This window comes from Homo sapiens, chromosome 17, assembly GCF_000001405.40.
Source record: "Homo sapiens chromosome 17, GRCh38.p14 Primary Assembly".
Classification (NCBI taxonomy): Eukaryota; Metazoa; Chordata; class Mammalia; order Primates; family Hominidae; genus Homo; species Homo sapiens.
In genome coordinates, this window is record NC_000017.11 from 74,373,260 (window position 1) to 74,389,056 (window position 15,797).

The 15,797-nt window shown below is 52.2% G+C and overlaps 1 long non-coding RNA gene across 1 annotated transcript, besides 2 other annotated features; it reads left to right on the forward strand.

The window, feature by feature from the left end:
- Positions 6,257-6,356: a silencer, noted in NCBI's record as "silent region_8931". NCBI's record gives its function as "represses an Ori minimal core promoter by ATAC-STARR-seq in GM12878 lymphoblastoid cells {active_cell/tissue: GM12878}" and the evidence as "EXISTENCE:reporter gene assay evidence [ECO:0000049][PMID:35858748]".
- On the forward strand, positions 6,995-8,283 carry LOC124904055 (uncharacterized). Its single transcript, XR_007065898.1, has 2 exons — positions 6,995-7,081; positions 7,747-8,283. It is a non-coding gene; the product is annotated as an uncharacterized LOC124904055 (long non-coding RNA).
- Positions 13,507-14,401: an enhancer, noted in NCBI's record as "H3K4me1 hESC enhancer chr17:72382905-72383799 (GRCh37/hg19 assembly coordinates)". NCBI's record gives its function as "activates a minimal SCP1, AML or CMV promoter by ChIP-STARR-seq in naive H9 embryonic stem cells {active_cell/tissue: H9 hESC(naive)}" and the evidence as "EXISTENCE:reporter gene assay evidence [ECO:0000049][PMID:30033119]".

Here is a 15,797-nt window from a genome sequence, read left to right on the forward strand (position 1 = left end):
GGATGGATAGATGGATGGATGGATGGATGGATGGATGTGAATTGTCTCCAGCCCACCCCCCTTTCCTGGTGCCTGCTTCTCATTCCCTGAATGGATCACCTCTCCAGCTCCTAGTGGCAATGCCAGAGTTTGAAAAGGAAGATATCTTCAGGACTTAAGGCATTTCTTAGGCTGGAGGAAACAAAGAAATTGAGCTGAGCAATGGGAGGGGGCTGCTTGGGGGATAAAAGCCCCCAGGGCCAGTCAGAAAGGGGTGATCTTAAATCAGATGTGAGGAGCCCAGGCCTGTGTCTGTCCAGCCACAGGAGACACAGCCCCTTAGGTCTCAAACACCCTGGTTGGATTCCACATTACTCCCTGCCCTAAACCAGTACAGGTTCATGGGCCCAGAACCAGCACTGGGGCTATAGTTTTTGTTGTTGCCAATGAGGAGAAAGAAAATGGTCTCTTAACCCAGGGTACTAGGAGAACAGGAAAGGAGGACCTAGCTGGAGATGACCCTGAGCTTCTGCTGAGCCCCCCGAGCTCACGCCCCTTGGGGAAAGGTCTTTTCCTCCACCACTGGGAGGCGGGAGTTGGCAGAGTCCATCAGAGCCATGAGGAGCTCTGCTCCCCACCCTCAGCCTCTCCAGGGAGGCTCTCCAGGGCCCCTCTCTCCTCTCAGCACCACCATCCCGGAGAGGCAGCTGGGAGAGATCAGCAGATGGAACTCCCAGCTGCTCCAGGCTGTGGGTAAACACATTAGCAGCTGAGCTAGGACCACTTTCTGCTTCCTGGTCAGGCTGAGCTGACCTTTGTCCTGAATGGGAGGTTCAGACCTGCCCCCACCCTCTTAGTGGGATGACATCAGTCAAAGAGCTGTTTGTGCACCCAGCACACAGTCAATGCAGAATCAATGCTTGGCTTTCCACTTTGCCTCTCTGCTTCTCCCCAGAGCAGGGATGTCCAGACAGGGAGGTTCAGCTAACCCAGAAAGAGGATAATGTGGGTCTCCAATGCATTTGCCATGATTCTCAACTCCAAAAAACTCTGAAAACCAAAACATGTTTCCGAAATGTGCCACAAACACGTTTAGCGGCACAGCGTGACCCGGTGTGAGGTGATTTCTGGTCCCGAAGTTGTCCTGTGATTGTGAGTCCTGCCAGCCCCACCAGGGACTGTTAGTGGAGTGATCATGTACTGCTGTCCACACCCCACGGAATCGTGATCGAACGCGCACCACTACATGCACACAGCACCTTCCTCTGCTCTGACGTATTCTGAATTCCAAGACATGTGGTGCCGAGTTCAGAGAAAGGACTGAAGACCTGTAAGCCCAACACTTCTGCTCCGGGGTGGTCTACACTGACCCTGAGCAGGTGTTAAGGATGGAGGACCCCCTCACCCGCCCACACCTCCATGTGCACACACAGATGTATCCCCAGGCAGGGTTGATGCACCTGCGCTTTATTCTTTGCTTAAGGAGGAGGGGGATGCAAATGCAGGTACCCGGGGAGGGAGAAGGTCCACCGGAGGACCAGATAATGTCGGCCCCAGCCCAGCCTGAGCCTGCCCTACAGAAGCGGGCACGGGAAGAAAGCACAAAGTTCCATGGATGAAGAACTAAATGGAACAACCTGCAGGGACCCTGCAGGAGAGAACCCAGTATCAGGGAAGAGCATCTGTGTCTCCATGGATGGCAACAGCAGCTGGGTCTAGGCCAGAGGCAGGATGCCTTCCTCAGCTGGCTGGGGGGCTGTCTTTCAGGAGGCCAGCTGCAATATTAGCTCAACTGTCTCTGAGCACCAGTGAAACCAGGAACTTCCAGAAACTGTTGGGGAGGCTCTTTCAAGACACAGTTTTGTTTTGTTTTGTTTTGTTTTGTTGACATGGAGTCTCGCTCTGTTGCCCAGTCGCTCAGGCTGGAGTGCAGTGGTGTGATCTCAGCTCACTGCAACCTCCGCCTCCTGGGTTCAAGTGACTTTCCTGCCTCAGCCTCCCAAGTAGCTGGGACTACAAGCGCACACCACCACATCCAGCTAATTTTTTTATTTTTAGTAGAGACGGGGTTCCACCATGTTGGCCAGGCTGGTTGAAACAATTTTGCATTGAGCCACCATAACCCCAGTGTTAATATTGCTATAACCTCACTTGTACCGACAGGCTGGGGCAGTCAGTGACTTTTTCAAACAACCCTGCATATGGAGTATTGTAACTGTTTTACAAACTTAGGAAATTGAGGCACAGAGAGATTAAATGGTATGCCCCTAGCCCAAAGCTGGTCAAGAGCAGCACTGACACTCAAACCCAAGTCTCCTGGTTCCTGGTCCATTGTCTGTTCCACCCCACACCTTGCAGGTGCTCTCAGATGTAGAAGATTAGAGGCAGACCGCTCTCGGGGATCTTTTGCATTGCTTAGAACTTTCTAGTGCTGGACTTATCAGATTTGAGAACCAGTATCACATTTTCCTAATAAAATGCATTAGGTGGTCAGGTGTGGTGGCTCACGCCTGTAATCCCAGCACTTTGGGAGGCAGAGGTGGGCGGATCACTTCGGGTCAGGAGTTCGAGACCAGCCTGGCCAACATGGTGAAACCCCATCTCTACTAACAAATACAAAAACTAGCTGGGCGTGGTGGTGGACACCTGTAATTCCAAGTTCTCAGAGGCTGAGGCAGGAGAATCGCTTGAACCCAGGAGACGGAGGTTGCAGCGAGCTGAGATCGCGCCATAGAAACACCATGGAACTCCAACCTGGGCAACAAGAGTGAAACTTCGACTCAAAAAAAAAAGAGAAAAAACACATTAGGTAACAGTTTCTTTTTAGCATTTGTGTAACCTTTAATAAAATAAAGTGATAATCACCTTGGTAAGCATGTCACTGAAATGTAAATGAAAAGTATTATTAAATCTGCCAAACTGGCTTCTAGAGGAGAGAAAGACTTAAATGGTTTCAGTTTCTCCTTCTTCCCTTCTCCCTCCATAGCCTACCCACTCATCTGCTGAAATATCTTAGCTAAAGAAAATCCTTTTTGAAATTCTGAGTTTCTTTCCTAACAATTCCCACCACAGGTTTGATGTGCTGTTTGATCTTACGGTCTATCATTTGTCCTTTGTTAATATCTGAGGATGGTTATTGCTCACATGTCTTTCATTTCTTCCCAAGGGTATATATGATTTTTGCTGTTTGGAAGTTGGTTGACAAATTGTTTTCTGGACTCTATTAGTTTTCAAGGGCTGCATTAAAAAAATACCGCAGACTGGGTGGCTTAAACAACATATGAGTTTTTGTTTGTTTGTTTGTTTGTTTTTGAGATGGAGTCTTACTCTGTCGCCCAGGCTGGAGTGCAGTGGCACAATCTCGGCTCGCTGCAACCTCCACCTCCTGGGTTCAAGTGATCCTGCTGCCTCAGCTTCCCAAGTAGCTAGGACTACAGGCATGCATTACCACGTCTGGCTAATTTTTGTATTTTCAGTAGAGACAGGGTTTCGCATGTTGGCCAGGCTGGTCTCGAACTCCTGACCTCAAGTGATTCACCTGCTTCAGCCTCCCAAAGTGCTGGGATTATAGGCGTGAGCCACCCTGCCTGGCCAGAAATGTGTTTTCTTACAGTTCTGGAGGCTGGAAGTTCAAAACAATGTATTGACCAAATGTAGTGGCTCACACCTATAATCCCAGCACTTTTGAAGGCTGAGGCAGGGGGATCACTTGAGCCCAGGAGTTCAAGACCAGGCTAAACAGCATAGGAAGACCCTGTCTCTACCAAAAATACAAAAACAGCTGGATGTAGTGGAGGATCACCTGAGCCTAGGAGGTCGAGGCTGCAGTGAGCCAAGACCACGCCACTGCACCCCAGCCTGGATGACAGAGTAAAGGGCGACCTTGTCTGAAAAGGAAAAGAAGAAGGTGTTAGCAGCTTGGGTTTCTTCTGAGGCCTCTCTCCTTGCCCTGCAGAAGGTCACCTTCTCCCTGTGTCCCCAGTACCTCAAAATGGGACGGCATTTGAAGATAGGGCCTTGAAAGAGGTGATGAAGTTCAAACGAGGCTGTTACGATGGGCTCTCATCCAACCTGGGGAAGGTCTTCAACATATGAATTTGGGTTGGGGGAAACTATGGGTATTTTAAGGACAAATGTTCCTTGGCTGTGGATCCAGGCTTTAATAAAAGTCACTTTTCTCTTGGCTGTATACGAACTATCCCCACCTTTCTCTTCTCCTTGGCTGGCGTAACAGGACTCAAAGCCAGTCTCGTATCTTTAAACATGATCTCTCCTTTCTTCCTGGAAGATCTTGAAGTTTTTGAAGATTCACCCTTGTTGAACAGGTACCTGGAGGTGGGCCTTTTAATTTCCACACTGAGAGTATCTTTTCATTCAGAAAAGGTTATTTTCTTTCTCGTTCGTTTCCTTCCTTCCTTCCTTTCCTCCCTCCCTCCCTCCCTCCTTCCTTCCTTCCTCTCTTTCTTTCTTTCTGAGTGGGGGTTGCACCATGTTGCCCAGGCTGCTCCTGAATTTCTGGGCTCAAGTGATGTGTCTGCCTCGGCCTCCCAAAGTGCTGGAATTACAGGCCTCTTTTCCTTTTAGGAAACAGGGTCTCGCTCTGCCACCCAGGCTGGAGTGCAGTGGCACGACCACGGCTCACTGCAGCCTCAACCTCCCAGGCTCAAGCAATTCTCTGGCCTCAGCCTCCCAAGTAGCTGGGACCACAGGCATGCACCACCATGCCTCGCTAATTTTTTGTTTGTTTGTTTGTAGAGACGAGGTCTCCCTATGTTGCCCATGCTGGTCTCCAACTCCTAAGCTCAGGCGATCCTCCTGCATCAGCCTCCCAAAGTGCTGGGATTACAGGTGTGAGCCACGGCACTGGCCTTCTTGACTTTCTTAATCACAATTGGGTTTCGGGCCCCCTTTTCCCTCGGCCACTCTTATGTGCTCTCTGGCGGGGTGTCCTGCTGCCACTGGCACCTTTCCTGGCTTCCTCATTGCTCAGACCTCAAACAGCTCTTTCCCTCTGTGTTGGGTTTCCCAGTCGCTCCGGTTTGCAGTGCTATCACTGCACACTCCCCCTTAGCAGCACGTTTCTTTCTTTTTTCTTTTTTTTATGAGATGGAGTCTTGCTCTGTCGCCAAGGCTGGAGTGCAGTGGCGCGATCTCGATCTCAGCTCACTGCAACCTCCGCCTCCTGGGTTCAAGCTATTCTCCTGCCTCAGCCTCCCGAGTAGCTGGGATTACAGGTGCGTGCCAGCACACCCAGCTGATTGTTGTATTTTTAGTAGAGACAGGGGTTTCACTGTGTTGGCCAGGCTGGTCTCGAACTCCCGACCTCAGGTGATCTGCCCGCCTCGGCCTCCCAAAGTGCTGGGATTACAGGCGTGAGCCACCGCGCCCGGCCTGAGCAGCACATTTCTTTTTGTCTCTGGAATGGATATCAACGCAACCAGGTTGCTTCCGGGGCATGGTCTCAGGCCCCACCACACACGCAGCCTCTGCCCCTCTCTCTGACTCCCATGCTCACTTTGGTCCTCCCCCATGAGTGCTCTGCTCCTCTTCCCCTTCCCCTCTTTTTTTCAGTCCGAAAGAGGAGGCATGCTGGCTGGATAAAAGGGAGCCACATCTGTCGCTTCTGCTCTGGGATCTTTCATGGGAGCTCCAGTCCACAGACATGAGTGTCCCTCGATTCTGACAAGGTGACAAGGCTCCCTTCCTGTCACCATGCCCGGGCCGAGGAGGTGGCTTTACCAGTGGTGGGGTGGGTGACATGATGGGGACGGGGAGACAAGCTTCCAGAGGGATCGTGCAGAATCCATTCAGCACCCTGGCCCAGAAAGCAAGACCATATTTTCCAAATTAAGCATTTAGCCAGCTGGGCACAGTGGTTCAGGCCTATAACCCTAGCACTTTGGAGGCAAGGCAGGAGAATGACTTGAGACCAGGTGTTCGAGAGCAGCCTGGGCAACGTGGCGAAACCCTGTCTCCACCAAAAATAAAAATAAAAAAAATTTAGCCGGGCATGGTGGTGGGCACCTGTAATCCCAGCTGCTCAGGAGGCTAAGGTGGAAGGATCACTTGAGCCCAGGAGTTTGAGGCTGCAGCGAGCTGAGATCACACCACTGCACTCCAGCCTGGACGACAGAGCCAGACACTGTCTCAAAAAAAAAAGAAAACATTGAGCACTTTGGTTGGCCAGATTACAGAGGTGCTGGCTGGCAGGGACCAAGGGACAGCCCTTGGCATGGGGGTGTCTTGGAAATCTTGCTTCCCTGGCCTCCTTGTCGCTGGGGGTGGCCTGAGCTCCCTGGCGGGTTTTCTGCCCACCTCCTCCTTTTGCATGTCCCTGTCAGCTCAGACAGCAGGGGGCGCTGCAGGACTGGCTGGACGGTCGGGCCAGGGAGTGGGAGGGCGGGCCTTTAAGCCAAGGTTCAAAGGAAGATCGAGTTACTGCAAAGAAACTGCCTGCCCTGGGCCAGCAGCCAGCACCGAGTAGTTGGGTGGGAGGGCTTTGTACCCTCTGTCAGTCTCCTCCACCCTAAAGCCACGTCTGCCACGCTGGGGCTGGCCAGCCACGGGGCTGCAGGGCCCTGCAATTTTCTCAGATGACTTTGGTGGTTTCCTGTGCAGAGTGGTGTGAAGGGCCCTTTCATCGTTCATCGCCCTCCTCTCTCCACTCTCCTTCGCAGGGTCCTGCCAGCCCCTCCTGCTGGCCTCGGGTTCTGCTCACCTGCCTTCCCCACTCTGGGGAGCTTGGCCTGCCAGGCTGCGGAGCCTCAGGGCTTCAGTCAGCGTCTCTGGGATCCCAGGACCCCGTCCTCCCAGCCTGGCGTGAGGGGCCGAGTCCTCCCATCCCCCAGCTGAGCCTGGGCAGGACTTGGGTACCCCCACTTCCCACTGCTCCTTCCAGCCTGCCCTCTCTCCACGGTGCTGGAGGTGAAAGAGTTAATCACATCTGTGGCGGCTCCTTCCAGGACTCCTCCAAGATATATATTTAGCAGGCGGGGCGGGGTGGGGCGGGAGAGGCGTGCCAAGATGCCCTGGCACCGCAGCCCCTGCCTTACCACACCGCTCTTCGGAGGGAGGGGCAGGCAGGCAGTGCCACAGGAGCCGGGTAGGATGGAGGAAGGGACCCATCTAGATGGAGGGAAGGGGCAGGTACGGGAGTTGGCTTTAAGTGGCTTTAACCACAGCCTAGGGAAGGCTGCGGTCTCAGAGAGGACTTTGAGGCCCTGTGTGTGGGGTTGGGGGAGGAGCTTGCTCTGTATCCATGAAAGAAGGGCCCAGTGACTCTGTCTCCCAGGGATGTCGAAGGATTGTGGAAAAGGGCTGGAAACAGCTTAACGGTGAAGGTGATGGGGCAGGGCTGGCTAGAAGAGCTTCTACCACCTATTGAAATGGCTGGGACCCCTGACCAGGGAGCACCGTGGGAGCATAGCCCTGGCCAGTCCAGGTGACCACCCTCTCAGAGCTGTGCTTTCATTCTGGGACAGCAGCTCTGGTGTGGCCAGTGGAGACAAGGGCAGACAGGTTTTTCTATGTCCTCCTTAGAGATTATTTCCAAGGACTCTGCCCTCAGGGAGAGCAATGTATTCAGTAGGTAACCACTAGGCGGGACTGGTTGCTAAGGGCTGTATTTTGACTCTAAGTGGGGAAACCTGTGATTCACCTTATTCCAATTCCTCCAAGTACCTGGGACCTCTGGAGGTTCAGTTCACAAGGAAGACGTTTGGTTTGCTCGCTTGCTTTTTTAACGGGAGTGTCTGTACCCTTCCCTAGGTCCCAAGAATAACTCTGCAGATCTTGGCTTCCCAGCCTCAGGATTGTCCCCAGGGACCAGGACAAAGGGCTTGGTCCTATTGGCTTGTCTCCATGGCGCCTCCCTTCTTCTTCTTCCCAGGTGAATGGATCAGCTCAGTTAGACCCAAGAGAGCCTCATGCTTGTCCTAGACCTCATTTTCCCGACCCAGTGGCATTCCAGCCACACCTGCTGAGGCCTTGGGTACCTGCGCATCAGAGTAGCAGCTCCTCCAGCTGGCAGAGAAAGACTTGATTTGCCACAGTTAGCGCGGCCCACTGTGGAAGCAATCCAGGGTTCGCTCACCACCCAGCCATGCCAGCTGATGCTGTTTTGATTCCCCTAACCAGGGGCAGTCACTTTTCTAGAACTTTCTGTGTCATGAACCCTCAAGGGAGGCAGCTAATGCAACCCTTTCCCAAAGGGCCCTCTCCTAATACCTGCAAATTATAAGGACACTATTTGACTTGATATTATTTCTGGAGGAAAATAAAAGTCAATAAAGGCACATAAACTGCTCTGTGATTTGAGGCAAAATGAATACAAAAGCCAGGCCCTTCTGCCACACCCACTCACCACGTGATCTTAAGAGAGTCGTTTCTAATCTCAGAGTCTCAGTTATCTTGCCTGTAAAATGTGGAGGTTGAGCTACATTAAATCTATGGTCACTTCTCTTACCCAGCTTCGTCCAGGCACGGTGGTTCACGCCTGTAATCCCAGCACTTTGGGAGGCCTAGGCAAGCGGATCACTCAAGGTCAGGAGTTCAAGACCAGCCCGGTCAACATGGTGAAGCGCCATCTCTACTAAAAATACAAAAATTATCTGGGCGTGGTGGCGGGTGCCTGTAAGGGCAGGCGCTGAGGTGGGAGAATCGCTTGAACCCGTGAGGCAGAGGTTGCAGTGAGCCCCGATCTCGCCACTGCACTCCAGCCTGGGTGACAGAGGGAGACTCCGTCTTTAAAAAATAAATAAATAAAATAAAATAAATGCTACCAAACTTACAATTCCCCGTGAAGCACCTAAGCCTTAGTTCAGAGTAGAAGCAGGAGAAACAGAGCTCACTGATGGGAGGCACCTAACAGAATACAGACAGCCTGTGAGCATCTCCATGTGCCAGGCACTGGGCTCTGTGTTTTTTTGTCTGTTTTTCTTTATTTAGAGATGGGGTCTCGCTATATTGCCCAGGCTAGTCTTGAACTCCTGGCCCCAAGCAATCCTTCGGCTTCTGCCCCAAAAAGTGCTGGGATTACAGGCATAGGCCACCACACCCACCTCCCAGGCTCACTTTCTTTCTTTCTTTTTTTTTTTTTTTTTTTTGGAGATGGAGTTTTGCTCTTGTCACCCAAGTTGGAGTGCAATGGCACGATCTCGGCTCACTGCAACCTCCGCCTCCTGGGTTTAAGCGATTCTCCTGCCTCAGCCTCCCAAGTAGCTGGAATTACAGGTGCCCACCACCACGACTGGCTAATTTTTGTATTTTTAGTAGAGACGGGGTTTCACCACGTTGGCCAGGCTGGTCTTGAACTCCTGACCTCAGGTGATCCACCCGCCTTGGCCTCCCAAAGTGCTGGGATTACAGGCGTGAGCCAGCACACCCCGCCAGGCCTAGTTTCTTATATGCACTGTCTCATTCCATTCTCACAATAACCCTACGAGGCAGGAATTCTTGTTATTTCCATTTTATACATGGACATACTGAGGGCCAGAGAGTTTAAGCAATTTGACCAAAGAACACTAGTTAGTGGGGAAAACAGGATTTTAATCGGCCGGTTGCTCTCTGCCTTCTGTACATCTCGCCATTGTGTGCAAGGCATAGGGAGATGCTAGAGTTAGCAGAGCCTGGATCTAGAAGGCAGGTTCAAGGTGAAGTCAGTCAGTCTTTTGTGTGTCTCAGCACACAGGAGCACATACCCCTTAACTCTAATGCTGGGAGTTAGATAAAAACGATGAGTAGTTTGGTGTGGCCGGGACCTAGTGGGTAGAAAGGGGGTGATGGAAGATAACGTTGGAATGATGGGCTGGTACTGACACTGAAGGTCTTCATACAGCACACTGAGCTCCTGATGGTTCTTAAGGGTATGTTCTAGAAAGATCCTGCTGGTGGTATTAGGGAGGATGAACTGAAACATCAGGAGGCCGGAGACCCCTTAGGAGGCCAGAGGGATAGCCCAGGCGAGAGACAGGGAGGCCAGGGAGCAGCTGGAGGGCTACCAGAAGCCTCTGCAGGGTACACTGGGTTTGGAGGAGACCTGGGGGCAGAGGGAGGGAATGCTCACACCCTCTGTGGTCCCTGGAACACTTCTAGCAAGAAGGAGGATTGTGCAAGAGGCTTAGAGAGAGAAGCAGCAGCGCTCCACTCTGTCATGACATAATCCCCTAGGAGATTTGAGAATGGGGGCTTCAGCTACCCCTCCCCGTGAGCATCCTGTGTCCATGGGGGCTTAGCCCTGGGTCCAGAGTTTCAGAGGTATCCCTCTGGGCTCTGGACATGTACCCAGAGGTGGTCGGAAGGGAAGGGTGATTGAGATGGACAGAGAGGCACTGCCCTGGCCGGCCTGGTAGCCTGGCCCCACCCTCTGAGGCTCTTCTTGCTTGGGCCCCCTTGCCCCACTTCTTTCTTTCTTTTTTTTTTTTTTTTAAGACAGAATCTTGCTCTGTCTCCCAGACTGGAGTGCAGTGGCACAATCTCGGCTCACTGCAACCTCTGCTTCCTGGGTTCAAGCAATTCTCCTGCCTCAGCCTCCATGTAGCTGGGACTACAGGCGCCCACCACCACGCCCAGCTAATTTTTGTATTTTTAGTAGAGACAGGGTTTCGCCATGTTGGCCAGGCTGATCTCAAACTCCTGACCTCTGGTGATCCTCCCACCTTGGCCTCCCAAAGTGCTGGGATTACAGGCGTGAGCCACTGCACCTGGCCTATTTATTTATTTATTTATTTGAGGCTGAGTCTCGCTCTGTCGCCCAGGCTGGAGTGCTGTGGAGTGCTCCCTGCAACCTCCGCCTCCTGGGTTCAAGCGAATCTCCTGCCTCAGCCTCCCGAGTAGCTGGGACTACAGGTGCCCACCACCACACCTGGCTAATTTTTTCTATTTTTAGTAAAGATGGGATTTCACCATGTTAGCCAGGCTGGTCTCGAACTCCTGACCTCAAGTGATCTGCCCGCCTCGGCCTCTCAAAGTGCTAGAATTACAAGCATGAGCCACCGCGCCCAGACTCCCTTTGCCCTTCTTCTGATGCCAAGGGGCGCAGGGTCCTGTCCTTACAGGGCTCGAGTGGCTGCATGTGAGGAGGCTGCTCCACACCAGTGTCCACGCCAGAGCTCGGCTCAGTGGCCTGGAGGAAGCTCCCACGGTGATGTGGAGTCTCCAGCTGCTCTCCTGCCCGTGGACTTTCCACCTCATATTTCTGGAGTTCTGGACTCTCACCAGCTCTTCCACACTCCCTCACTCCTCTACTCCAACGTGGAAATAAACAGAGAACATGAATGAGAAGGCGCAAAGGCCATGATTCAGGGCTTGCTGGGTAACAAGGGGGCAGCCACCACCACCTGTGTTTGAGAGGGACTCAAAGGCGGGCGGGGTAGGGAAGCTCTCGGGTGGCGTAAGCCAAAAAGTATCTGTGACAGAACTCCATCGATTCAGAGGATTATTTGCCAAGGTCGAGGACGCGCCAGAGGAAGAGAAACACGAGTTGCAGTAGGATCTGTGGCCTGTGCTTTTTCCCAGGAGATTTGAGGACTTCAACATTTAAAGAGGGGGCTGGCCGCGGTGGCTCATGCCTATAATCCCAGCACTTTGGGAGGCTGAGGCAGGAGGATCACCTGAGGTCAGGAGTTTGAGACCCGGCTGGCCAACATGACGAAACTCCGTCTCTACTAAAAATACAAAAATTAGCTAGGCGTGGTGGCAGGCACCTGTAATCCCAGCTACTTGGGAGGCTGAGGCAGGAGAATCTCTTGAATCCAGGAGGCAGAGGTTGCAGTGAGCCGAGATCACGATACTGCACTCCAGCCTGGGCGACAAGAGCAAGACTCCGTCTCAAAAAAAAAAAAAAAATTTAAAGAGGGAAGAGCAGGAAGGAAGGGAAGGAAGAAAGGACAAAGGGAGGGAGAGCAGGCAGCAGGGGAAGGAAAAGGAAAAGGGAGGGAGAGCAGGCAATGAGGGAAGTTGTTATGTTCCTGTGAGGCTTTGATTAGTACTCACTGAATCCACATTTTACACAGGAAAAGAGGTGTGCTTAATAAATATATGTTTTACGTAAGATAAAGTAAGCATGTGAGATGACAGCTGGCTATTTGGGAACAAAAGGAAGGTAAGTTTTTGTTTGTTTTTGTGTGACTCAGCCAGGCATGGGGGCTCCCACCTGTTATCCCAGCACTTTGGGAGGCCGAGGCAGGGGGCTCACTTGAGCCTAAGAGTTCAAGACCAGCCTGGGCAACATGGCAAAACCCCATCCCTACAAAAAATACAAAAAATTAGCAGAGTGTGGTGGCATGCACCTGTAGTCCTACCTACTTGGGAGGCTTGAGGTGGGAGGATCACCTGAGCCGGGAGGTCAAGGATGCAGTGAGCTGTGATCGTGCCTCTGAATGCCAGCATGGGTGAGAATGAGACCCTGAAAAAAAAGAAGAAGAAGGAGAAGAAAGAAAAAAGAGAGAGAAGAAAGGAAAGAAAGAAAGAGAGAAAGAAAGGAAGAAAGAAGGAAAGAAGGAAAAGAAAGAAAGAAAGAAAGAAAGAAAGAAAGAAAGAAAGAAAGAAAGAAAGAGAGAAAGAGAGAAAGAAAAGAACAGAAAAAAAGGAAGAAGGAAAGGAGGGGAGGGGAGGGGAGGGGGAAAGGAAAGGGAAGCTTCAGGTTTACCTTGATGGAGGCTGTGGGCCTAGGAAGCTGGAAGCAGCTCACTAGAAGAGGACAGGGCATCCTATGGGATTGGTTAGAGGGGCATACTTGGCTTTACTTTTTTTTTTTTTTTTTTGAGACAGTGTCTCACTCTGTTGCCCAGGCTGGAGTGCAGTGGTGCCATCTGGGCTCGCTGCAGCCTCAACTTCATGGGCTCAAGCAATCCTCCCACCTCGGCCTCCCAGGTAGCTGGGACTACAGGTGTGTGCCACCACACCTGGCTAATTTTTATATTTTTTGTAGAGATGGGGTCTCACTACATTGCCCAGGCTGGTCTCAAATTCCTGGGCTCAAGAGATCCACCCGCATTAGCCTCCCAAAGTGCTGGGATCATAGGTGTGAGCCCCTGCATCCAGCCCATATTTGGCTTTTTCTTGGAAATGGGGATAAATTGGAAGCAGGGATGAGAATTAGGGAAACTGTCGATTACAAATCAAGTCCTGGCCAAGTGGAGTCAATTGGTTGACTTCTTGGACCAGTCATTAGAACTGATCGCCTGACTTCCGCAAGTATGACTTGTAGCTAGCAGACAGCAGGCTGGCTTCCTGGGCTGGTCGTTGTAGAGGATGGCGGGGCTTCCTGGGCTGGTTGCTGCAGATTGTGGGTCAGAGATCTATTTTTATGTCTGGTCTGGCCGCTGGCCATTTGTAGAGTCAGTCTCTCACCAGCAATCTGTGATTATCATCCTAGTTTTTCAGACAAGTAAACTGGGAATCAGAAAAGTGAGCTGACGTAGCTAAGGTCACAGAACTAGTAAGTTTCAGAACCTGGACAGGAATCTGCCGGTCTCAGCCTTCCGCAGGCAAAGTTCACAGCTGACTCATTTTTGCCTCCTTGTCTCCCACTCTTAATTACCCCAGTACTTTGGGCATGTTCTCAATAAGTATTTATTGAATGAATGAATACAAATTTTTATGACGTCAGTGAGGAAACCAGAGAGGAAAGCCAGAAGAGAGTGAGGGGTCTTCGCTGAGGAGGCCCCTGTAATGAGAACGACGCCGCTGGGTTCTCTTGGCCACCTCTTCTCTGGCATCCTGCAAGAATCCCAGGTCCTTGGTTGGAGCCTGGAACCACTGGCTGAGAGACTTGTGGGTCTGGGCCAGCTTGGCCAGGAGGGACCTGGCGTTGGTTTGGAAGGGTGAGAGTCGGGGGAGCCTGCACCCCACGGGGTTACATTGTTATAATTAACATACTGGGGACGGCTGTCGGATCTCACTGAGAGGAGGGGCAGTCAATGGTGGGGAAGGGCACTTCCTCCCAGGAGCCGCCTGGGGATCCAACCAGGTGGGGAGGGTCAGGAGCCTCAGGCACTACGGAAGGCAGAATTCTAAGCCCGTCCCATGGACTCCATCCCTGTCCCCAGAGTTACTCCCTTGACCATATTATAGGGCTACACAGTGAAAGGGATTTATGGTGTAAGAACGGTACCCCAGGGAAACAGCGGTGGCTGGGGAGGTCAGGTGGACCTGGGGGGCCAGGTGTCCAGGCTGCCTGTCCCACCATGTCCCGGACTGGCCTCATGGCCCTAGGCCCCTCCCTAAGCCCCAGTTTCTACATCTGCGAAGTGAGGCGCTGGCCCAAGTAATCTAACCCTACCTGTTGTGATCCAGATTCTTTTGAGCCCCAGGGAGGCCAGGATTAAGGCCGGCTCCCCTGGGTTCCAGCCGATCAGGGGAGTGTGGGTGGTTTCTCGGGCCTGTGGAAGGAAAGAAGCCGAAGAAATCACTCTTGAAAAGTGGCCGCTATACGAGCGGGCTGGCTGGGTGATCCCTGTGGCATTCTGGTCCCTCTCCCTCCTGCCTCAGTTCCTCTATGACCTCAAGATGGAAGAGCCACACCTACAAAGAAAAAAAGACTATCTGTGAGAAACAGGTGTGCGTGTTGATTTTTCCAAGGGCTTGGCTCAGCTTTGGGCTGAAAATCCCCAGGCCATCCACAAGGGGTGTGGTCACAACCCAATAAAGACTTCAGTCTCAGAGCCTGGGACCATCCCATCAACCACAAAATATTATACAGGAGGAGCATGAGCCAGGGAGGGGAGTTGGCCCCTCACCGCCCCCACCTCAGTAGGTGGCCCTTCTGACTCTGCGCTGCTGCTGCAGGAGATGGCAACACGAGGGTCTCCGCATGCAGCCTGCAGGCGTCTCAGCTTCATGTCCTCAGCCTCCTCTCTTCCTTCTTTTCTCCAGAAAGGAGGCCAGCAGAAGGCTTGGGCCCTGAAAGCTAAAGGGAAAGGAATGCAACCTGGGCTGGGCAGGAGCAGAAGGAGAGAGGAAAACAGTAGAGGGTTTTTTTGTTTTGTTTTGTTTGAAACGGAGTCTCGCACTGTCACCCAGGCTGGAGTGCAATGGCGCGACGTGATCTCAGCTCACTGCAACCTCCTCTTCCCAGGTTCAAGCGATTCTCCTGCCTCAGCCTCCCAAGTAGCTGGAATTACAGGCACCTGCCACCACCCCTGGCTAATTTTTTGTATTTTTAGTAGAGAAGGAGTTTCACTGTGTTGTCCAGGCTGGTCTCAAACACCTGACCTCATGGTCCACCCGCCTCGGCCTCCCAAAGTGCTGGGATTACAGGCGTGAGCCACCGCACCCAGCCAACAGTAGAGGTTTGAAGATGTGAAGATGGAGTCCCTGGGAGAAAGGGGGCCTTAGTGGTTTAGAAGCCAGAAGGTTTAGAGGAAATGGGATGAAAACATGCAAAAACGAAGGAGTTGCGAGACAAAATGCTTCCCTGACAGAGCTGCTTGGTTGGTAACAACTCAAATTTGGCAAAAGGCACCTTGGTTTCATCCTAGCATCTACAGTGCTTATGGTCCTTACTGGGAGGAGAGGGAGCCAGGTCCAGAACCCTCTGTTGCCTCTCTGAGGTTCTAGCAGCAGTTCCCAGGCTCTCTCCTCCAGGCTCTGGTCAATCGGATACCTTCCTTTGGCTTCGAAAGGGCAGACACATCCAGCCACACCAGTCTTACTGCCCTTGCTGTGCTAAATCCTGTCCAGCTGACACCGCAGTTTCTGGGCCCCACGGAATCTTGGCTCCCCGGGCTCTCTGACCACTCACACCCCTTGTTCCTGCAGACAGTCCTGCCATGCCTCTTGCTATCCCAGAGGGAAGAAAAGGCCACAAGACCAAGTAG